We start from the raw sequence: 24044 nt of genomic DNA on the forward strand, positions 1-24044 counted from the left end.
CAAAAAGAAGATAAGAATTCTCTGCTCAGGGTTTCTCAAGGTGGAAGTCAAGTTGTCAGCTAGTCTGAACTTTTATCTGAAGGCACTGGGGAAGAATGAACTTCCAAGCTCATTCAATTTTTTGGCAGAATCTAGTTCCATGCGGCTTTAGGTCTGAGGTCCCATTTCCTGGCTGGCTGTCAGCCAGGCACCACTCTGCATTGAGAAGGCACCTGCATTTCTTCTCACATGCTCCCCCTCTACCTTCCAACCAGCAATAGCATCTTGAATCCTTTTTTTTTTAAATTTTTTAATTTTTTTTAAATTATACTTTAAGTTTTAGGGTACATGTGCACATTGTGCAGGTTAGTTACATATGTATACATGTGCAGCGCACCAGCATAGCATCTTGAATCCTTATGCTTCAAATCTCTCTGCCCTAGCCAGAGAAGACTCTCTGCTTTTGAAGGGCTGGTGTGACTAGATTAGGCCTATGCAGATACTCCCCCTTTTTGCCGTATAATGTAACATAATCACTAGAGTAACACCAACGGGCAAAGATACTGGGAGCCATCTCTAAATTGTGTCTATCACAACAGGCACAGGAAGAGGAGATCTGGTGTGATCGTTAAAAGCTTACTTTCTAGCCATCCCCAGCAGACAGAAAGTGAGCAACAAAGAAGCAAACCTTGATGATTTCATAAAAGCAGTTGCTTTAAAAAAAACTGCATTATGCCTTTTTCGTCCTAGATGCCAATACAGAGGCAAATTTTACCTATTATTTGAAGTAAATCTGGCAGATATAAAATGAGATGATTCAAATCTATTACTAACGATCTAAATTACTGACTTATAAGATACTAACTTACTCACTTTCCTGGGTAGCCTTAGGTGTGATGTGACTAGGAGAATTCTTTTATTCTTTGATAGTTTCTCAGAAAAAATAGAGTAGTTGATAATGGTGTAGGTGGCCAAAGTGGTACATACATCCTTGCCTTTTACTTATTATCTAGAATGGTGAACTACCCAGTAGAACTGAAGAATGACCTCTTTACTCTCAACTGGTACAGACTTAGAAGTCTGTAGATATTTCATAAATGTCTTGTTGGAAGAGTCATTTTGACGAGTCTATTACTCAGAACAAAGAAGTGGAAGAACTTAAATCATGATGAGCTTATAAACCCCTGGGAATCAATGTTCTTTTAAAGTGCCTCTCAGAACAAACAGAAAAGCCCAAAGCTAGACAGCCTGTCTTTTGAAGACTCTAAAACTAACTTAAAACTTATGTGTGCTTCAGTAACTTGAGGATTTAATAAATGTTTCCATTTCTGTTGTTGTTGTTGTTTTGCTGTGGTGATTACTGTCATTGTTACAGGCCCATGACAGCCCCACAGATGAGCAGGTGTGACCAAGGTCATAAGGGAACCACCACAGCCAATCACACCATGTCGTCTGGGGTGAACACCAGGTAATTCACTGCGCCTTATTCTTCTATGGTCTCTCAATTTCATACAACCCGAATGTCAGCTGTTGAGAATGAAAGGAACCCTGAACATAGTCAATATTGAGTGTGAAAACCTCCAAGGAAAAGAAAAGAAGGTGAGAGTTTAGAGTTACAAGAAAATACCAAGGCTTCTTTTGAAATTGTCAAAGAGAAATCTAAACCAACTTCATAAATAGGCATTTGTGTTGTTTTGTTTGCTTGAGCATTCTAGATGTTCTCTGCCTCCTGGGTGGTCTTTGAACTATTCCAGTGTTGTTTCATTTACCTTCAACAAAAGGCAAATAAACAATAATAATCAGGAGGTGGTTTATCATTCCCAGGGCACTCAGAGTCAACTTACTTTCATCTGGACAGATTTTCTGCAGACATTTCATCCAAACTTTGACATATGCCCTCAAATGGTGCTTTTCATGGTTGTTAACTTAATCTCCTTCTCTTGTTGTGGTGTAACTCAGATACTGGCTATACTAGTTAATATTTTACCCGTTTCATTCCATCTGTGTTAGCTTTAAATATTCCGACATACACAAAAAGCCTAATTAGCTTCCTCCTACAAGGAAGATTTAAGATAGGGCAAACCCAAAATCAGCTTAAGAAAAAGTTCTTTTCCCAGTATGGAATAGTTGGCCTGGAAATCATAAGGAGAAATTCAATAATTTTTCACTCTCTCTGAAGCCTATTTTTAAGTGTGTATCATTATTCATGTAAAGTTAATTCCCTGCTCATCATATATATTCATATTAAAAATAAAACAAAAATAAATTCCAAACCCAGCTATAAATTGCCTGGTGTGATGGTTAACTTATGCCTCAATTTCCTATATTAAGGGAAAATGATATACTATAGCTTAAGTGATATTTAGGGACTTCTCTAGGCTCACTGGATTAAATGAGGGCTTCTAAAGAAGAAAGAGGGCTTCTAAAGTCTTAGTATCCATGAATCATAAAGCAATAAGTCTCCAGAACTGAAAGGAAGTCAGCCATGATTCTCCTTCCTGTCACTTAAGACAGAGCACATGGTATTAAAACTATAACTTAAATTTCAAAATGTCCAAAAATTTCTCTCATTTGGCTATATTCTATGAGTTTGTATATATTTTTATAATAGTCGTCTTTACCCAAATCACGCAACAATAAAACAACTTTTGCAGCAGCTATAATTGCAATATATGTGTTAGCCAAATGAAAGATAAAGCCTTTATGTTTTAGGAGTAATATATGTATATTTGTGAGCTTATCAAAATGTATAGCTTCAAGGGCTTTTCATATGAAAGTCGATAAGAAGCCCCAACCAAAGGACCCCGTTCTTGCTCTAATAGTTATGTAGACTGTTTTTCTGACTCCCAGGTACCAGGAACAAGGAGCCAAACTGCACTTTATCAGGTACAGAAAGACTTGCTCTAATTTCATACCAGTTCTGACATCTTGAGATGATTGCCTTTTAAGCTGGTTTATGGCTCTATTAGATTTCATTTGATGCATAACATACTATTTCTGGGTAAACCCCCAAAAGTGGGTTTACTACAGTTTGGGATGACAGTCTCTTCTAGGCTGCTAAGCTTTCTTTATCCTTCGGATGAGGTTCTCCTTGGCCTCACCCTACTGATTCATTAACTCATTAGGAATCTTATATTTTTCTTCAGTGTGATACCCTCTTCTCACAGCTGCTACATGAATACATTTTCAGACCCCTAGTTAATCTTTCACAATTTCCCAGGGAAAACCTTCATTTACTGGAGGAAGGGCAAGGCATTCCCAGAGAGGAACTGGATGAACGAATTGCTCGGGAAGAGTTCAGAAGACCCCGGGAGTCCTTACTGAATATTTGCACTGAGTTCTATAAGCACTGTGGGCCACGGCTGAAGATCTTGCAAAATCTGGCTGGGGAGCCTCGGGTCATTGCCTTGGAACTGCTGGATGTGAAGTCTCACATGAGGTACTGGCCTCGCTTTCCCTGCCCCAAGTGTGAACACAGCTTGGCCCATGTGTCTGAATGTGTGTGTTGGGTTGAGAGTGGGGGTTCTCCAGGAAAAACTCTTAATATAGAATGATTTGTTTCCGGTGACTTAGGTACACATCATACAGAACCCTCTGCTAAAGTGTGCATTAAGTCCATCAAACAGGATCTTAGCGTGGACAAGGGGAAAATGTTCTTAAGATAGAAAAGCACAGTTTATATATGTGCTTCTCAATAAAAGAGAAAGAAAGGGAAATTTTATCACCTGAATTCTTAGAAAAGTAGCCTTCTTCTCACTACTATTTACTGCCCAGATTCGAATTTTTCACAAGAATTGAATGTTTCTTCTCTGTTATTTTACATGAGGAATGCACAACTACTTTCTGCTTCTAGGGTCCCTAAAAAGCCAGTAATGAGCCCTGCAGGGAAGTAAGCAGTTTTAACTCAGCCAACTTGGCTTGGGCCTGAAATCCCCTTTATATAAACAGCCTTCCAACCGTTAAAAAAATGTGTCCTGGTAAAAATTCTGAACTAGATGAGGCCAGTCGTCATTTACATGTTTTACTCTTAGTGTGCTAGGGAAAGGCCCCAGAATTACTTCCCTGTGCACTCGTATTTCGTCTTCCTACAGAGATGCCATTTCACTTGAAATTCATGCTAAAGGCCGTATTTGTGTTTCAAAAGGAACGTGATTCCAGAGGACCTTCTATTCAGATTTGTAATTGTTTGTTAAGGGTGATAAAAATCCCTTCAAAGAAAAATGTCATGGGTAACAAAAGATTCACTTGGAAATTTTAACGTATCTATAAAGGTAAAAGTAGAGTTAGGTTCAGCCACTTCCAAATAACGTTGCAATTTCACAAAACTCACAGTTTCCTGGTTATTGCCTTTTTTTAAATTTAGAAAGTACTAAATGGAGGAAAATGAGAAGACAGAAATGTACAGTGAGCATAGATTCTTTTTCTTCCAGTGTAATTTCACATTCTTTGAATTGTGGGCACACACCCAGTACTGCCCTGGAGAACCCCAGAGCCTCACTGGAGTTCACACTCCCTGCTGTGCAGTAATGGGGAAGAGCTTATTTCACACTGAGAAGTTCAGCTCCTAGATGGGAGCCTTCAGAGAAAGGGGAGGGACATTTGGAGTGTTAAGGTACTGCTGTCATAGCAACTTAGGAATCTATTCAGCCCCTCCACTTCCTTTCCCGCTGGTCTTCTCTAGCTGACCTAAGCAATTCTGTGAACAGAGAAACATCACATTCCCAGAGTCAGAAAATCATTATGACCAATGGCCATTTTGTGAGAGAAAGGGAAAAATATTCCTAAAAGATGGATGTGTGTGTGTGTGTATGTGTGTGTGAGAGAGAGGGAGAGAGAGAGAGAGAGACTATGAGATAGTGACTGTCCCATAACCTGACTGTATTTATACTCTTCTTAGGGCATTTGGAGGGAGGGGACAGCAAGAGTCAGAGAGGCCTGGCGCTCCCTCTAGAGGCCAATACCTATTAAAGGTTAAATGAACTGGAAATGATTTAGCTCTGTGCCTGGCACAGATCTGGACACAATAGATACTAATGCTAATGAGAATGGTTCAAATACTATGTTAAACACTGGGGATGTAAACTAAGGTCCTGGTCTTCAAGATTATCACGGTTCAATGCAAGAGGCACATAAGAAAATAACTATGATACAAAGTTGTAAGTACTATAATCACATTTACATTTATGTATTATTATATAAAGGATTTGAGGAAACTCAGAAAATATTTGAAGGGAGAGTGTATACAAATTATAGAGTCAGGATAATGTGAAAGATTTTCAAGGAGTTAATTATTTTTATGATAAGATTAGCACGGGAAATCAATATAAGATCATATTAGATATTATTCATGAACCATAAATTTGACTTTCTTAGTTATCAAAGCAAAGAATGAAAAAAAGATTAATTACAAAATCATAATATAAATAAGTTAAAAACAAAACAGTTGCTCGGTGAAACAATACTTTTTTAAAATACGAAGAACAAGAAAAATCTTGTAGGGGCCAAGGGAAAATTTCCCCTTCACTCTCTGAAGGTTTGCTGAAAGTCAACTGATAAAAGGCAGATCATAATCAAAAAGCATGAAAATGTATTTGATCATAGTTTTACCTGACACAGGAGCCTTCAGGATGAAGACCCAAAAATACAGGGGAAGCTCTCCATTTTTGTTTAAGTTTAACAAAGTATGGATAGCCATGTATAAATATGACTGGACAAAAAGGGTATGATCCCATTCTAATAGACCAAGTGAGGAAACCCAGCATGGCCTGTATGTTTGGATTCTTCTTGGCCTCTCTGGTTAGCATTCCTTCCTTCTGGGAATGGGGCAAGACCCTTTCTGGAAAGGGGGCGTTGTTATGACCTACAATCAAACAAGATGGGTCAGGTAATTTCTTTATGGCTAGTTTTTACACAGAAAGATGGGGGAAATTTAGTGTAATATTTTTAAGTTTTATGGCTGGCTTCAGGAAAAAAGGTTCTGGTTTCAATGACTTGCTTTGAGGAAAAGGGTCTCCAGTTTCCATGGCTAGCCTTGGAAAAGAATGAGAGGCCACAGAGAGGAGGGCAGGAGAAGATCAGTGAAAAACCTTGGCTTCTGAGGTCTTCATTTTGGCGTATTGCTTTCTGAGCTTCAACAGTCTCCTGGTTGGTGTTTGTTAAAAGGGAAGAGTAGTATGATGAACAGAGTCCTCAACAACATCCCCATAGTAGATAAAGTGCTGGTTGTACATGGCTGGATGCCTGTTAGTATATAAAGTTGGCACAATGTCATAATGCAGTTCAGCAAGAGCAATTGATCTGAAGCCAGGATAATGTCATTCAAGAGCACAGCTATTTCATGGCCTGGATCAATAGGAGGGCAACATTTTTATTGCTCAGGGAATATTTAGACTAAATGCCCTTTATTAACGCAATTTCTCACAACAAGCTTTTGAAAAAGACAGGCCTGCCATAGTCTCTGACCAAATAGAGACATTCTGTGTTGCTGATTAGGGGCAGATCCAGATGCTTTGAACTTATACTAAGCAAAGGATGTAATTAAGGCTCTCCTATAAGTTAAGTGCGCACTTGAATATGTGTAAAAGTTGGAGCTTAATATATAAATTTGCGAATTGAGGGTAGTATTAAATCGTTCTTAAATTATAAGAATAGATAATGTCACCCAAGGATGAAAAGTTGATTTTTAAAAAGAGAAAGAGAAATGGGATGATATAAAAAATGCAAATGTTTGCCAAAATAATTTGAATCAAACCAACAAGTTAAGAAACATTGCTAAGGCAATCTATACTTCTGAATTTGCAGAATGTATGGTTGATTACAAGGCTCTTGAAGAAAATATTCTTGATTAGAGTCTCTGCCCTACAGAAATGTATTGCTTCATTTGTCCAACCCAGTGCTGCCAAAGCAGCTGGATAATAGAATCTGCAAATTCTCTCTCTTTTTCTCTCTCTTTCTCTGTCTGTCTCTCTCTCGTGTGTGGTCTCTATCTCTCTCATTCTCTTTCTCTCTTTCTCTTTTCCTCTCTCCCTCACCCTCTCAATGGGAAAATCTCTTGTGTTCCCACTGGGAAAGAACCATAGGAAAGTTTTTTGATTATACATGTGATAGTACAGCAAAGACTGTGGGAAAGGGAAATTTTGTTTTATGCACAAAGCAAATTTATTTTGTCACATGACCAGGAATTAGAGAAATTCAGGTAGTAATCCATAAAATGGCTCTTAAATTCAGCTCTACGTAGTCTTTGGAAGCTCAAAATAGACAGATTGATTATCTCACAAGCACTTCTCAATGTTATCTTTAAAATAATAAGAGAAAAGAAATAAGTGCATATAGATATACTCTTATTTGTCACACAAATAACCTGAGAAGTAAAGAATTATTTTCTGTATATCAAATTCATGAGAAAGAGATAAACAAAAGAATGTATAAGCTGTTTAAAATGATTTCTTTAAAACACCCACATTCACACAGAATTCCAGGACAATGTGAATATGTTCAGTTTGGAGAGAAGACAATGGGAATTAAGAGACAATAACTATTTCTTGATAATGAAGGGTCATGATGGAGAAGATGGATTGGATTTATGCTTTCAGAATTAAGCCTAGTAGGAAGAAATGAAAGGGAATTTGGAGGCCTAACATGAAAGGAACCTCTCACAGTGTGGACCTCCAAAGATGAAATAAGTTGCCTTGTACAGTAGTGAATTTTCTATCCATGGAGCCAGTCACATAAAGCAATTGTAGAACAATCTAAATAATCAGAGAGGTAGTGGCCTTGGCTGTGATTCCTAAACCAGGATGCCTATCAAAATCAGCTGAGGAGCTCTTACCCTCTAGATCCTTTCAAACAGTTATTCACTCTTCAGTTCTCTTGGAGTAATCACAATTTCTCTTTATTACAATGCTATAGTTAATATGTGAGACAAAGAATTACATGATATTACCACTGCACTACTCCTAATGCATCAGTGGATCTGTGCAGTGACTAAGAACAACTAATATAAAAAGAGTGACAACTAGGAATCCTGTACCTCCTGGCGGAAGTACACACCACATACACCACCTGCTAAGTACTCTTGCCAAAAATTCAAAACTGAGTCTGCAGATGTAGGCCCTGGATTTAACTTCCAATCGAATTAAATACAAAGGCAGTAGGATAGATTAAATTACACCGTGGAGATTCAATCAGCAAAATTCAGAGTGTTGCTACAGAGAATTTCTTTAATAAATAACAAGATAAGGCCGGGCGCGGTTGTTCACGCCTGTAATCCCAGCACTTTGGGAGGACGAGTTGGGCAGATCACAAGGTCAAGAGATCGAGACCATCCTGGCCAACATAGTGAAACCCTCGTCTCTACTAAAAATACAAAAATTAGCTGGGCGTGGTGGCATGCGCCTGTAGTCCCAGCTACTCAGGAGGCTGAGGCAGGAGAATCGCTTGTACCGGGAGGCAGAGGTTGCAGTGAGCCGAGATCGCACCACTGCACTCCAGCCTGGTGACAGAGTGAGACTCTGTCTCAAAAAAAAAAAAAAAAAGACAAGTACAGAAGGGGGGAAATCGACATATTAAAAGAGACTTAAGGACATATCAACAAATTGAAATTTATGGGCCTTATTTTTTCCTAATTTGTTAAAAAAAAGTAATTATGAGATAATGTGTGAATGTTGAAAACTGACTGAATATTTGGGTTTTTTAAAAAAGAATTATTTTTAATTTGTTAAATGTCATACTGTGTTGTGTTTAATTTTTCTGAGTCCATAAATTTGGAGACACATACTGAAATATGTCTGGGTAAATGATGTGATGCTTGGAATTTACTTTAAAATAGTCTAGGGTAGGGAAAAGGGGGAGTGTTTGGGGGTATAAGTAAAACAAGAGTCACTGTAGGCCAAGTACAGTGGCTCACACCTGTAATCCCAGCACTTTTGGGAGGCTGAGGCAGGCAGATTGCTTGAGTCCAGGAGCTCAAAACCAGCCTGGGCAACATAGCAAAACCCCATCTCTACAAAAACTACAAAAATTAGCCGGGCATGGGGCTGTGCACCTGTAGTCCCAGCTACTTGGAAGGCTGAGGTTGAGAGATGGGTATTTTGGGGCTTACTATATACTGATCTCTCTACCTTTTTATATGTTTGAGATTTTCCAAAATAAAAGTTAAAAATATACAGATTTCTGGGCCCAGACCAGACCTTAGAAGTTTTTTGTTTTTTTTTTTTTAGACAGAGTCTTGCTCTGTCACCCAGGCTAGAGTGCAGTGGCACAATCTCCTCAGCCTCCCGAGTAGTTGGGATTACGGGTGCCCACCACCACGCCCAGCTAATTTTTTTGTATTTTTGGTAGAGACAGGGTTTCACCATCTTGGCCAGGCTGGTCTTGAACTCCTGACCTCGTGATCCACCTGCCTCGGCCTCCCAAAGTGCTGGGATTACAGGCGTGAGCCAACACACCCGGCCAGAAGGTCTTATTTATGAGATTTTTGGAGGTCCTGGGAAACTGTATTTTTTCGTTTTCCTTTTAAGCTGTATTAGAAAAATAATAATAATAAGAGGTGCCAGTGTGAACCTGACTGCCTACAGGATATTATGACTATTATGGGCTCTTTCAACCCTAAGATTCCATGACTCAGAGAAGATTATCTTCAGAGCTTTTCCAGTACAAACTTGTCTCAAAAAAAAAAAAAAAAATCTTATTTTTCCATTTATCTCAAATCTCCTCCTCTCTTTAGTAACAATCCTGAAAACTTTCCATGTATGGCTGCCCCTGCTGATGCCATCCACACATGCATTCCTAGGTAACATTAGGCCTCTCTGCTACCCTCGTCCATCAGGAATCCTCTGTCCTACATTCCAGTTCCATAGGATCCTTTTCCTGCCTAACTCAACATGTACTGATTCAAGCCAAAGATTCAAATAATGGGTGGTAGTAACTTAATGTATTACCCTTCCTAAAGAAATTTGTTTTCAAATGAATTTTCACTATCTTGACAAAGAATATGAACATTTCAGCCACTGTGTCTTAGGAGTATTTTTTAGAATATAAGCTTTTTTTTGAGGAAAAAAATCAAGCTCGAATCATACAGAATAGTTGTAAGATATTTTTATGAATGAGTATACATTACCTCTTAATATTATCTTGTACACATTCTGCATCTACTCGGTATATTTTATCAGGAGCCACTGTAAAATGTTTAAATACTTTCTCCTTCATACAAAATTAAATTAAGTTGGCTTTAAGGCTATGTACATCATTGTATTTGTATTATTTGGAAATTGGTAATCCATATCTAGTTCTGAAGATTATTTCATTAACTATTACATTTACTAGAAACCTCATTTTCCCAATTAATCTATTTGGCCAATTCTCCTTCAGAAAATCTGACACTTAGGACATCAACACTTGGGTCTGGTGACTGCAAGCCTGGGCCAACCTTGAGAGAAGCACAACTTTCCCTCTGGCAGTTCCTGTATGGAACCGAGTTGGGAAATCTAAGAAGTAGAGGCGACCAAAACCAATGTCATTCAGACAGTACAACTGGGTCTATTATATGAAGAATCTCAACAGAGAGAAAGGATCCATGTATAAGATAACAAGAGAGGAGGAGGCTTTAAAGGAGAGGGATGGAAATGGAGCCTGAAGAACCCCTTGGGTTGCAACAAAAACCAAGAGCACTTTTTATAGGGTGGCTTTGACCTTGACTGTGGGTACTGAGGGAGTTCTGAAGCCATGAAATTTACAAGGACGTTTGATATTAGTAATTTTATTGTTCATTAAAGTTAGTTCTCTTTTATATGCATATATGTCATATTTATAATATACATGTATTTGTGTGTTTATATGCCTGTATATATACACATGCACATTCTCAGAAATGACATTCTCTAAATATATTTGGCCTATCCTTAATCTCTCTGGATTTTAGTTTCCTCATCAGATGCTCTTTACATGTTGTCTCTGAAGCATTCTATGATTCTCTATTAATATGCATATGTAGGTATCACTGTTCTGATGTGTGGGAGAGCAGAGGGATAGAGGATGTTGGGAAGAATGTTCTTAGTTCAGGGAGTTGGTGGTCTGGAAGGGGTGATTAACATGTTGCTGTGTAAAAAAATTCCTGTTGTGTAATTCTAAGCTTATACTTTAAAATATATATACATATATATATATTTTAGGTTGGCAGAAATTGCACACTCCCTTCTGAAGCTGGCACCATATGACACTCAGACAATGGAGAGTCGTGGGCTTCGGCGCTACATCATGGAGATGCTACCCATTACTGACTGGACAGCTGAGGCAGTGAGGCCGGCCCTCATCCTCATTTTAAAAAGATTGGATAGAATGTTCAACAAAATTCATAAGATGCCTACTTTGAGGTGAGAATGCCTCCGAGTTAGCTGTTGCTATCACAAATGTCAAAGTTAAGATTTGTCATTTTTTAAGATGGTGGATCATTCTGGAGTTGAATGGATGACTTGAAAGTTTTCTTTGGTATATGTGCATAGTTAATAGGGTCTATGAATGCCTAAGTAGCAAAGCCTACATTTTGAGAAAAATAACATTTTCTTTAAAAGTATATGTGCTCATCTTGAAAAAAATCTATCCATTTCTTAGCTATCATGCTCCTCATCTGACACATATAAAAATTTCAATTAGTACCCTTTAATCCCTTTTAAAATAAGGGAGGGTTGGCCTTATAAATGAAACAACTAATGAGAAAAGAAAAGGAATTTTATGTTCAAAATACTATATTTAACATAGCTAGTTAACATATTTAGGTACCAGTTTAGAGAAATTCCAAGCTTTACAATAATCGCCAAGCAGAAGCTTAAAAATTCGCAGGATTGAAAACAAACACCTAGTTTTCACTTTTTTACCTAATTCAGTGTGGTACTAAATGAACACTATTAATGCTTGATCTTTGTTCAGTGACCTGGGAAATATTAATTGGTAGCCTACATATTAGCAGATGTTTTTGAACCACTCTACTTAGAGATGTGAGCCGAGTTTGGAAACTGTAGTGATAGTGAGCAGATAGTTCAACAGATTAACACTGGTAAACCCACTTACTCGGAAATTTCAAGTTTAGGTTAGTGAGAAAATTTTCTGTCCTTTTAAACTAAACCCAAAAATCAGTGTGACTCCTTCCCAAGAATTTATAGCACTTAATGTTCAATTCATCAGAATTTTTCAGGTATTAGTCCATAATCTCCTTCACACTAATCCAGCTTTCAGGAGTCATTAAAAAAACAAATGGAAAAGTTTTATTCTAATAATTGATTATTTGTTTTTATATTCTTTTATACCGTGGTGATGACTACCTATACATTATTTCAAGGTTATTTATTTCAATGGCATGGAAATGCTTGTTTTAAAACACTATTTCTTTAGTGATCCCAATAGAACATTTGTGTCTATCAGCAAATGGCTTATCAAAGATTTATAACTGTCTCACAAGGGTGCGTCAAAATAAATTCCTTTCTTAAATACTTCATATCTAAAGACGTTAAACATCTCCAAAAATGACCCATTTATGCTTCCCGAAAGTAGATTTCTGGATTAGTACATAGGCTTGGTCAGTTATAGGCAATTTTCTCGGGAGATAGGCTATGAATATGGAGTTGGCTTGGATTTAAATTCATTAGGTGATCTCAGTTCAACACAAGAAATGTTGACTGAACCTGACCTGCATATTACCTTCAGTGTCGGAGATGTCACATAGCCTCATTTATGAATACATTTCCATTTGTCATTGCAGATTCCATTTCGCTAGAAAATATAAGCTTAGAAAGTATTGCCAGGAAAATATAAGGAAATACTGTTAATATCAGTAAAGCCCAAGCTGTTTATTTTGGGGCCACAGGGATGAATCAGTACTAGAAGAATTATGAAATGGATTGACTTTTATTACAGAAAATCCCATATTCATTTAATTGGGTTATGTATACAGTAACACCATTTATACTACCATAGAAAGTAGCCAAAAAATACATATCATGTCTTGGGAGGCCAAGAAAGAACATTGTTTAAATAAACTATTTTCTTCTAATGTGATCTTCTTGGCAGGAGTTAAGCTATATAAATCAAATTAGTGGTAGTCTGGTGTAAAAACTGATGGGCGTGTGTAATCTGATAAACAGGTTTCAGAAATGTAGCTGGGGTCAGATTAGTTCTATTGGGAGTAATTACCCCTGTGATCAGTTTTCTATGATGGTAGTCTTAGGACCCTCTGTCAAAGCTAAAACCAGGGAAATTAAAATGCAACCCATTCATCATCTCTGTTTTTTCTTCAATAGATTTAGTCGAGTGGGGCAGGCCTGCCTCTGCTACGTTTTCAGTATCTTCTTCCCCTCCCAGTATGCTCTGTGCTTTTGGAACAATATGGGTAAACTTCATCCCAGAGACACATCCTGTCTTAGATGGCATCAGAATCACTGTCTCATTCACTTGTTTCAGACTCTCCAGAAGGGAGCCAAGACGCTAATGGCGCCTATATTGTATTCCAGGCGACAGGTTGAGTGGGAGCCTGCCAGCAATTTGATTGAAGGGGTTTGTTTGACACTTCAGAGGCAGCCAATCATATCCTTCCTGCCTCACCTTAGGTCACTGATCAATGTCTGTGTCAATCTGGTGAGTAGCCAAGTGGCAATCTTATGAAACTTTGCACAATGTAACTCTGCTATTGACTTCTCTGAATTGAAGATTTACAGGTCAACCACTTTGTGCCCCTATCTGCCCATGAAAACAGACGGCTCAGGTGACACTGAAAATAGTGAGGTACATTTCAAGGTGGTGTGTGGGGAGATCCAGGAACCCATCCCTACACAGAAGGGATTTTGGTGTGCTGCTTCCCATGCACTACTTTGACAATTCACCTCTTCAAGTTGCGCTGAGAGTTGAGGGCTGCCAGTTGGAGAGTGGGGTGGCGGAGCCTGCACAATTGGCTAGAAGTTGAGGTAGTCTGGGGTGGGGAACTTAAAATGCAAAGAGGATATTTTTCTCTTATGGTGCAAAATGACACTATGAGTTGGCCAGTCTAGGATTTATGTGAAGAAAAAAAAATTTAATTGTTTATGTAATATCTAGAGTCTGGTCCTGACAAGGTTTTGTAAAATGTGTGGAAACCATCTTAGAGCATCTCATTAAATAGGACCTGCTGCTTCACTAGTTGAGCAATAAGTCTGTAGTTGGAATGCCTAGTGCAAATAGAGCTGTTGCCATCATCATTGTTGTCAGTATTTGCTCCATCAAGGAATGTTGACCGCATTCCTTTGAATTCACAACTAAGTGTCCAATCTCCTGATTAGAATAGCTTTTTGGTTCATCTCTCATTATTTACATAGTTAACTATAAACAACATTCTACAAAACCTTGGCTGAATTCAGTGTAATGTTCGATCTGACTCCAGACATTACATGCCTTCAGAAGGCAACAAGAAAGAAAAGATTGAAAGTAACATGTCCAACCTTCAATTTATCATTTTTATTATCATCATCATTGAGACTCCTTTACTACGGTTGCATGAAATTGCAATAGTCAAGGCTGGTCATGTGCTCTGTTTGTATTTCAGGTGATGGGAGTGGTAGGACCTTCCAGTGTTGCTGATGGATTACCCCTTCTTCATCTCAGCCCTTATCTCTCACCACCTCTGCCCTTCAGCACAGCTGTTGTCCGGCTTGTAGCATTGCAGATACAGGTGTGACTGCCTTACCTGTTTGTCACGCTCATTAAGTTGCTGGTTGAGGCACCAGATCATGGTGTTCTCGTTTTTTTCTGCAAAGGCTGGGCAAAATCTGTGAAACAAAAGTGTAAACATCTCTAAACTTTTATAGATTTGGAGCTTCAGCCCTGAGCTTGGCCCTAAGTTGTGCTTCTGTAATTCTTCTTGAGATCTCAAATATAGCAGAGTCATTTAGTCCTGCCACAACTTCAGGAACCACTTCAGTCATTGAAAATGTGTGCAAAATAATGGTTCACAGATAATCAGCTCACAATTGTTAATTAAAAGGCAGTAATATTCACAATCTGGTTTTAAATTATTTTCAGAAAGAATTGCAATATAAAATTCTTTCAAATGTTATCACTAGACTTTGAATATCTTAATTTTCTTTAATGATTGTGGGTTGAATATTATGAGTGCTTTTTTAAAGAAAGTTCTCCCCCTTTATTTATTTCTTAAAATTAAAATAATCATTCCCAAGGCAAAAAAAAAAAAAAAAAATTGCAGAATCCCGTCTCCTGAGTATTTCTGTGTGTCACCCAGTTTTAGAGAATGGTAAATCACTGGAAAGCTCCATAATCAATGGAAAGTACACAACTGATGTAAATGGATAACTGACCCATCCGTCGTTTGACAACCAAGCTTGATGGCTCATCATCCAGAGAATGGGTAGATGGTAGAAAAGAGATCAAGTAAGAGCTGTGGCTACTGTGCAGAAGAGAAACAGTGACATCCCTAAAGTGATACACTTTAATAACTTGCGTACAAAGATCACATATTTCTTTGTATATTGCATATTGTTTCCTGGCTTGAAGAAGGCCTTTCATGGCAGGGGCCAGAGGAATAACTACCAAAAGGAGCAAGTGAGAAGTTCTGATTTTCTTCCTTCTCCTTTGTTGTTAAAATATTTATTGGTAGAAAAATAGAGAAAATTAATGGGGACATGAAGTTGTTTTTGTACCTGACCATAAGTATTCTAATTTTTCATTTAATATTCAAGATGTTACTATCTTTTTAGGTGTATAGCTCTCAATTATATCAAGACAATGGTAAAGTATCAGTTTTGAGTGAAGCTTGTATGCTGTACAGACAACAATTGAACTCATAGTTTACAGGAGCAGCCAGCAGGGAGTCACCGTCTCCATCATACTGTGTAAAAACAAACATACTAAATGGGTGTGGTGGTCAATTAATCTTTTCTTCTATTATTGCTGCACAGGCTTTAAAAGAAGATTTTCCTTTAAGCCATGTGATCTCCCCATTCACCAATCAAGAGCGAAGGGAGGGGATGCTTTTAAATCTGCTCATCCCATTTGTGCTCACAGTAGGATCTGGAAGCAAAGGTCTGATTAATTTAACTAAAGGAAATTTATCATTGTTGTTGTGTTCTCTTAAATGTCAGGCTGTTATTTCTTTTTCCTGTTCCCATGAAGGCTATCACTGAAGTCAGTCTGAATGATTTAAATAGGGTCATCTTAGGAAATAAGAGTTTTTCTTTCTTTTCAGTTTAGCTACCTGGGACCAGAGTTTCTCTGCTCTACTTCTTAGGAGATACGTCCTATTTAAAGTCATTTCAGTACAGCAAAAATCAGGGGAACAGTCATTCAATTCAGTTGAGAAAATGGTATTCGTTGAAGTACAATATAAGAATTGACAGGTGAACAAACTTGTACAACCTACGTGGACACTGGGTTTAGCAGAAATCCTGCCACTGTCATTAAATTCCAATGTATTTTCATTACTCTTTCTTCTTAGGGGTAGAGGGATTCTTTTAGGAAAAGTTTGTCTCAAATGTAAGTACAGTGCATCATGAGTATTTGCAAAAAGAAAGGAGATTGAAATGGTAAGCGAGACATTTGGCTAAGACCACAGGTTGTTGGGTACCCACTATGGAGAAAATACTCAGGTGCCAGGAACACTGTTTCTGTCCATTGGTGAAGCTGTACTTGATGGGAAACACCTGAATTTCTAGGGTGTTGTAGTTTGGACTTGGAAAGAGCTGAGTTTTTCTGTATCTACTGTGGACAGTCTACCTTGTGATGTTTTTCTTTCCACTTCCGTCTTCCAAATTCTGCCCCTCAGATAGCCCATGGCTGGAGCAGCCTGAGGTGCAGCTGCTGCTGCAGACAGTCATCAATGTACTCCTCCCACCGCGGATCATCAGCACATCCAGGAGCAAGAACTTCATGTTAGAGAGCTCCCCAGCCCACTGCTCCACCCCTGGGGATGCGGGGAAAGACTTGCGCAGGGAAGGGCTGGCTGAGTCCACCAGCCAAGCAGCATACTTGGGTTGGTACTTTCTCTCTCTCTCTCTCTGTTTGTGCATGTGTATGTATATGTATGTGAAAATATATGTGTAGATAGATAGATAAATAAATAAATAGATGTACTTAGTTAAGTTCCAACTTAACTCAGAAAGAATTTAGAGAGACCTCAAACCAGAATGTATTTAAAGAGACCTCAATCCAGAATGTATTTAAAGAAGCCACTTGAACAAGAAACATTACCCTTGCAAAAAAAGTCTGGTTTCCTTCAGTAAACATATGCCAAAAAACAACGTGGTTTCACATCTGCCATGCCTAAATTACTTGGCTGTTTTATATATGAGTGTCTGGGCTTGTAAGGAAGGCATCTGCAGTAAAGATTCTTCCATGCTGATTAAGTACCAGATCACTAGTGAGGTTCAGTAGCTGTTATAAGATCTAAACTCAGTCTAGTATACAAAGACACAGCATTGCACAACATGTGGGGCTCATTGATCTGTCACCTATATAAATGGAGTTCTGTATTTGGGCAGTCTACATCCTATGCTGCAAGATTTGGTGACCTTGCAATATGCTATGCCCCTACTAGCTCTTTTTCCTCCCTTAACATGTCTTTAATCTCCATTTTGATCATTACTCTAGTGAGGCCAGTCCAGTCCTGCTCCCATAGGCTTCCCAATCCCTTTCCCTCTTTGACTCCTACTTTCCCGTTATCCTATGCTGCCTTTAACCTGGTCGTGACCCGGGGAGCAATGGAAAGCCACTCTTTGGCCCTGAATGAACTGGGCCAGCAGGAAAAGACCACTCTTGCCATAGCGCTGAGAATAAGTGGCACTGGCAGTGGGGAATTTCAAAATGAGAAAGTCTTGCCTGATATTTTTCAATTCACCAAAGCAGATATTGGTGAGAAGTATAAGATGAACACAAACACACTGATGAAAATGAGTCCTTGGAGTTTGGAGTATGGAGGGGTGTTTGAACTGCCTTATAATGGGATGTGTTTGAAAATGAGGGGATTGACAATGAAAATGAAAAAGGAGAAAAAGACACAAGGAATGCATGTACCTAGGACTAACCCATATGGATGCTCAGTTGGCCAAGGTATACAAAAGTAGAATTCAAATCTAAGCTCTATCATAGAGCCCTACATGAAGTTTAGGATTGCACAGAGGATGATGGAGGAAAGGGGCTCACCATGTACAGGAAGGATATGAGAAGACACTTGATGAGTTTCTGTCCTCTCCACTGTCTGCCTTTTCAGTAAAGAGTTGTTTTTACTTTGTTACATGGCCAGGCTACTGAACCTGTATTTTAAGTTTGTTTTTACATTTATTTTGAGCACTTACTGTGCACCAAGCAGTTTTCTGTGCTTTACACTATTACCACATTGAATCCTCTCATCTTCTCAATAACTCTAAGAAGTTAGTGTTATTCTCATTTTAGGAGTGAAGAGGCTGGGGCCCAGAAAGGTTGAGTAACTTGCCTGAAGGCATATATCTTAATAAGTGACAGAGCTAGAATGAGTCTCTGTTCTTGAGTCACTTTTATACACTGCTATGTCTTAGGCTGATGGAGGTTTAGGTGGAAAGTAGAATGGCAGAAAGCCAAAGTCAGCCAACAGGCCTAGTAACAGTGAAAACGTCATCAGAATTATGGTAGAGAAAGAGGAGTGTTGTTTTTTATTTGTTTGTTTGTTTGTTTAGTTGAGGGAAAGGAATTGAGATAAGCAATTGCTGTGAAAAGTGAGACTTTGAGGAGGAATATGGGTAAGAAGGAATCTTGCAATCTCTCTCTCTGTGTTACATGGCATGGTTCTCTCCTGGAAACATCCTAAAGATGGTAAAGGCATATGTGACTCTTGAGGATTTTAGAGAATTGGATTTCTGTGTGCATTTAGTCACTCAATGCACTTAAGAAAGATTTTTGTGTTTTCCTAATCAGAATCAAAATGTGTTTAGTATACACATTTTTTAGATGCTGAGATTCATGGGCCTTAAGAATGATCAAGAAGACCCAGGTCACTTGACTGCCCCATGGCAGACTCCATGGTAAAAGCTGTAGTGGCAGAGGGAGCTCCCGTCATAATCTTTGATGTCTTCACAATACTCTGGTTTGTCCTGACACACGGTTTGGGAAATCTGCTTCCTGAAAAATAAAAATAAATGTAGATTGTGAAGGGCTGCTGGAATCTGAGAGGAAAGAGATATGGACAAATAAATCCAGTAGGGTTTAGTAACAGACGTAGTGTGTGATGAAGGAAGGTGTTTTTTATTTTTGGAAAGATACCCTGCACGCATTTACTGGTTACCTCTGGGGAGCAGTTTAGTGTGGGGTCAGGAAGGGAACTGGGAAGGAAAAGGACTTAATATTTTTTAACTTTGTGCACTTCTTCATGGTTTTATTTTACTTTTAGTAACACAAATATTTATTTTTATGGTTAAAAGAAAAAAGGAAAAGATTTTTAAGATCCATGTTTTAGCTAAGAATGTGAGTGATATGTCCGTATTACCATAAAGTTATTATGATAAAACTTTTGGAAGGTAAAACGTTAGCCACACATCATGTTTATGAAACATTTTCCTTTCAATTCAGTGGACCACATTGCTCTATATTTTCCAAGATAGTAGTTCTTAAGATGCACTTAAGAAAGATACTTGAGTAATCTTCATCAGAATCAAAACACTTAGCATACACGTTTTTGTCTCGATGTACAGAATACTCTTGCTCGGGAATACATACGAAGTTTTTAGAAACATGGAGAGAGCTTAGAAATTTAGAAAATTTCTAAAGGTGCATAAAGGGCTCTGGATGTAGGTTGGGTTCCTCGGAAGCACACGTCCGCAGGCTCATTTTTCTCTTTTCCCGGTGTGAAGCGCTGAAGGTGATTCTCGTCTGCTTTGAGAGGCAGCTCGGAAGCCAGTGGTACTGGCTGAGCCTCCAGGTGAAGGAGATGGCTCTGCGGAAGGTGGGAGGCCTGGCCCTTTGGGATTTCCTCGACTTCATCGTGCGGACCCGAATACCCATCTTTGTGCTTTTGCGCCCTTTCATCCAGTGCAAGGTGTGGTGTGTGCTTCTCCTCCTGAAAGTGGCAAGCTCAAATGAATGTGTGGCTCTCTACTGAGGCAGGAATATGGCAGGAGTGCTCATGGTACCTACTGTTGCCAGTTAGTAGGGCCTGTTAATACCATGCTTGATGAGAAAACCGCCCAAAAATATATTCCAGAGGATAAAAATTTCACACTAGAAATGCCTTCACAGTAAGAGCTTTGTTGGAGTCTGTAAAACTTTGCCCGCTCCCTACTAATCATCCCCCACTCTACCCACCCAAAAGATTGGTCCAGTGGAATAGTTTGGAGAATCTTCTATCTTCAGTGACATGACTGAGATCTGATTTTAAATAAACATAAGAAAAACATAGGATACTTAACGTATGTTTTTCCTCCAAGACCCTCGGTACCCATCTACACTTGGTCTTTTCATGCCTCAGTTTCTTAGGGCAGTGATTTAAAACGATGTAATTATTAAGCACTTCCTGTGTAAAGTGCCGTTCTAGGAACATCACATGCATTACCTTATTTATTCCTCACAACAATGAAATAGGTACAGCAATTAGCCCATTTTATGGATGGAAAATTGAGGCCCTGAGAATGTTATGCCTTCCTTTCAGCTGCTGGCCCAACCAGCAGAGAATCATGAAGAGCTTTCCGCCCGGCAACATATTGCCGACCAGCTGGAGCGGCGCTTCATACCACGCCCTTTGTGTAAGAGCTCGCTCATTGCTGAGTTCAACAGTGAACTAAAAATTCTAAAAGAGGCAGTTCATAGTGGATCAGGTGAGTGTGCATGAGAGTGTTGTGAATTTGTTTGACTAATGGAACTCACAGCCTACAAAGAATCCCTCTGTCCAGGTCACCACACTTTTTGGAACTATGAATATGTTAGCCATTTTGGTACACTGTTAGATTTGACCATTTCTAATAAGTTAGCCATTTGACCACCACTAGATTTGACTTCCTCTTTTGTCAGTAACAAAATAGAAATCAAAAGGATATCATAAGAATTTAGTTTTCCTTTTCTATATATTTTTTAATCTTCATTTTAGTAGTTAATCTCTTTCTTGAGTATTTAATTGGAAGAAAAATGGTTTAAATCATTACCTTTATTTCCTTTTGGAAAAAGAGAAGGGGGACATTCATTTATTGAGCTTCTATTTTATGGTAGATTATTTCCTTTAATCTATACAAATACCTTCAAGGTATATAATTGAAAGTCCCTGTAAAAAATGAGGAAACAGACACAGTAGAAAATAGATAAATAATTTACAAGTAAATAACTTACTACTGTCACATAGAAAGTGATTATTGTAAGGGGATTTTTCAGCCAGATCTCTGTGATTGATTTATAAAGCCTTTAACTTTAACTTTTCACACATTGGAAGGGGAAGGATTCCCTTAGAGCTGGCAAACTAGGAGGTACTTTCTTTACATTATTCTAAAGGTATTCTTTGAGAGTACATTGCTTTCTTTCTTATAACTATGTATTAGCAGCAAATTACTGAGGAAGGAAAATAAATCATTATTTGCCATTAGAGGGCAGTCATTACCCACAAGTAAAATGTAATATGTGATAGGTTTTCTTTTTTGTGGGAGGGAAGGGTTATTTGCTTTCTTTTGAAAGCTTTTATTGTTCTTTGCAGACAATGTGGTAAAAACAAAAAATTGACAGGTATAATCCTGGTGAAGTTTACACATTATCATTCAAATATTCTACTTTGTAATAAAATAACCTGACATAGAACTGAGGGATATTTTATAGGTTGTAATTTCCAGAAAATGAGAATAAGAACAGTTTTGATTATGCATCGCGGGGTTCACATCAGACAACTTATTTATTACTTTGATATGCTTGTGTCAGATAAGATATATTTCTTAGTAAAAATTGCCAAGTTGGAAGCTACAATTCAGGTCAAATTTAATTTGCATCCTACCAACCTTGGAAAATAAAATAGAAAACCAATAAGAAAGGCAACAATGTCAAAGCATTTAATATTGTTACAGATGTTATGTTCTGGCAAGGGAACTATTTAATTATATCAGTGGCCAATATTGATTCTTTAAAATAAAAAATCCCCACTTTCATTTGCAACTTTGTTATAAAGATCATTTGTCTGGGACACATTATTTAACTAACCTTTCCTAAAAAATACAAGTGGTCAGGGAGGACTTTGAAGTGGACATTTAAGATTCTCACCATGCATTTCCTTTGGTCTCTCGCATCCTCTAGCCTACCAAGGCAAGACATCCATCAGTACCGTGGGCACCTCCACCTCTGCTTACCGCCTGAGCTTGGCCACCATGTCCCGCTCTAACACGGGCACGGGCACTGTCTGGGAGCAGGACAGTGAGCCATCCCAGCAGGCTTCGCAGGACACCCTGAGTCGGACTGATGAGGAAGATGAGGAAAGTAGGTCATTCCAGAGAATCTGGGCAGTAGACATGGCCTGGCCATACGAGCAGGGGCTTGGGAAGGATTACTGCCCTTCTGACCTTTTCCGCTTCTGATCCCCTAGTCATTTTTACAAAAGGAGTTCTAGGGGAAATGTGACTGATTCCATGATTCCTAATGCCTGCATTTCTATAAATTCCTTGATACCCTTTGGTCATTTAAAAAGAATTCAGGGAAAAAGTAAATATGAATTTGAATACATTAATTTCTGCTTCTGGCTGGGCACGGTGGCTCATGCCTGTAGTCCCAGCACTTTGGGAGGCCGAGGCGGGTGGATCACCTGAGGTCAGGAGTTCAAGACCAGCCTGGCCAACATGATGAAATCCCATCTCTACTAAAAATACAAAAACTAGCTGAGTGTGTTGGTGTGCACCTCCAGTCCCAGCTACTCTGGAGGCTGAGGCATGGGAACCACTTGAACCCGGGAGGCAGAGGTTGCAGTGAGCCAAGATCGCGCCAATGCACTCCAGCCTGGGCAACAGAGCGAGCCTCTGTCTCAAAAACAACAACTCCTATCTAAAAACTCCTAAATTTTCTTTAAACCTATATAGTCAACTTTTTCCACTAACTCCCATTTAAATTGTGGATAACTAACCAAGGAAAGCACTTATTCTCCTTTTTCCTGGACATCTTGCTTAGAGGGTTGATTGGAACTTAAATGGCCTCATTAAGCAAGGAAAAGTGAGCCGTGTATATGCCTAGGACTCAGAAAAGACCAGTTGGCTCTACCAGCCGGTATGTAAACCAGCAGGCTGTCTTGAGGGAAAGTACTCCAAATTTGAGTTAAGAGAATCCCCAGTGACTAGGTCAGCCCAGAAACTTCTAAGGCATGTGCTAGAGATTTGGTGTTATGACATGAGGAGAAATACTACATATGTATGCTTCACAGGAGGTTATAAAAAGTAAAATTAGGGTGAAAGATTCCATTAAAATGCTACTGTCATTTCAGGGGTCTTAATATTGCATTAATTATTTTCCACTTGTGTGTTAAGATACTCTGATATAACGTTTATAGCAAAGTTGTGTTGTCAATGCCATATGAATGAGAACAAAATTTAGATCTTCACTCAGAGGCTCTCCATACCAAACAACAACAAAAAGCTCTACTCTGAACTAAATTAAGTAGAAGAAACGAGAGTTGAGGTTAGAATTTTAATTAACTAAGATGAATAAAAGTGTTTTAATGTCCTACAACAGTTGGGAATGTAAGAGAAGAGAAAAAATAAATGCTTTGTCAGTACTTACCAGTAATATTTGCAGTTAGCTTCAGCATTGGTCAGACAAGGGAAAAATCATATTGTCCTGTGCCTGGCCTATAGACACATTTCTGTCTAAATCACCCTGGTGACTGCTCATGAAAATACACCTAAAGTTGTAATTAGGGAAATCTTGACTGAGAAAACACCATGAAAGAGAAAAGGATCAGCAGTTTAAATATCCACTAAGTATGGGTAAAACTTAAAGAAAATCAATTTTTTCTTTAATGCTTGAAGTAGCCTCTCCCAGCAATTCTTATTAATTATAGGAAATGATATCACCTATTTTTGTAGAGCTAAATATATTTTGCAGGTAACCTTATAAAT

The 24044-nt window shown here is 38.6% G+C and overlaps 1 protein-coding gene across 3 annotated transcripts in view; it reads left to right on the forward strand.

The window, feature by feature from the left end:
- UNC80 (unc-80 subunit of NALCN channel complex) overlaps nucleotides 1-24044 on the forward strand; it is a 227465-nt gene that overhangs the window by 184458 nt on the left and 18963 nt on the right. For all 3 annotated transcript variants that reach the window (NM_032504.2, NM_001371986.1, NM_182587.4), the window contains 11 exons: nucleotides 1355-1447; nucleotides 2830-2865; nucleotides 3200-3418; nucleotides 11148-11348; nucleotides 13479-13602; nucleotides 14543-14668; nucleotides 15912-16035; nucleotides 16775-16981; nucleotides 19830-20014; nucleotides 20624-20789; nucleotides 22240-22419. In NM_032504.2, the coding sequence (NP_115893.1) occupies nucleotides 1355-1447; nucleotides 2830-2865; nucleotides 3200-3418; nucleotides 11148-11348; nucleotides 13479-13602; nucleotides 14543-14668; nucleotides 15912-16035; nucleotides 16775-16981; nucleotides 19830-20014; nucleotides 20624-20789; nucleotides 22240-22419 (1661 nt within the window). The remainder of the gene's footprint in view (nucleotides 1-1354; nucleotides 1448-2829; nucleotides 2866-3199; nucleotides 3419-11147; nucleotides 11349-13478; nucleotides 13603-14542; nucleotides 14669-15911; nucleotides 16036-16774; nucleotides 16982-19829; nucleotides 20015-20623; nucleotides 20790-22239; nucleotides 22420-24044) is intronic.

This window comes from Homo sapiens, chromosome 2 (assembly GCF_000001405.40).
Source record: "Homo sapiens chromosome 2, GRCh38.p14 Primary Assembly".
Classification (NCBI taxonomy): Eukaryota; Metazoa; Chordata; class Mammalia; order Primates; family Hominidae; genus Homo; species Homo sapiens.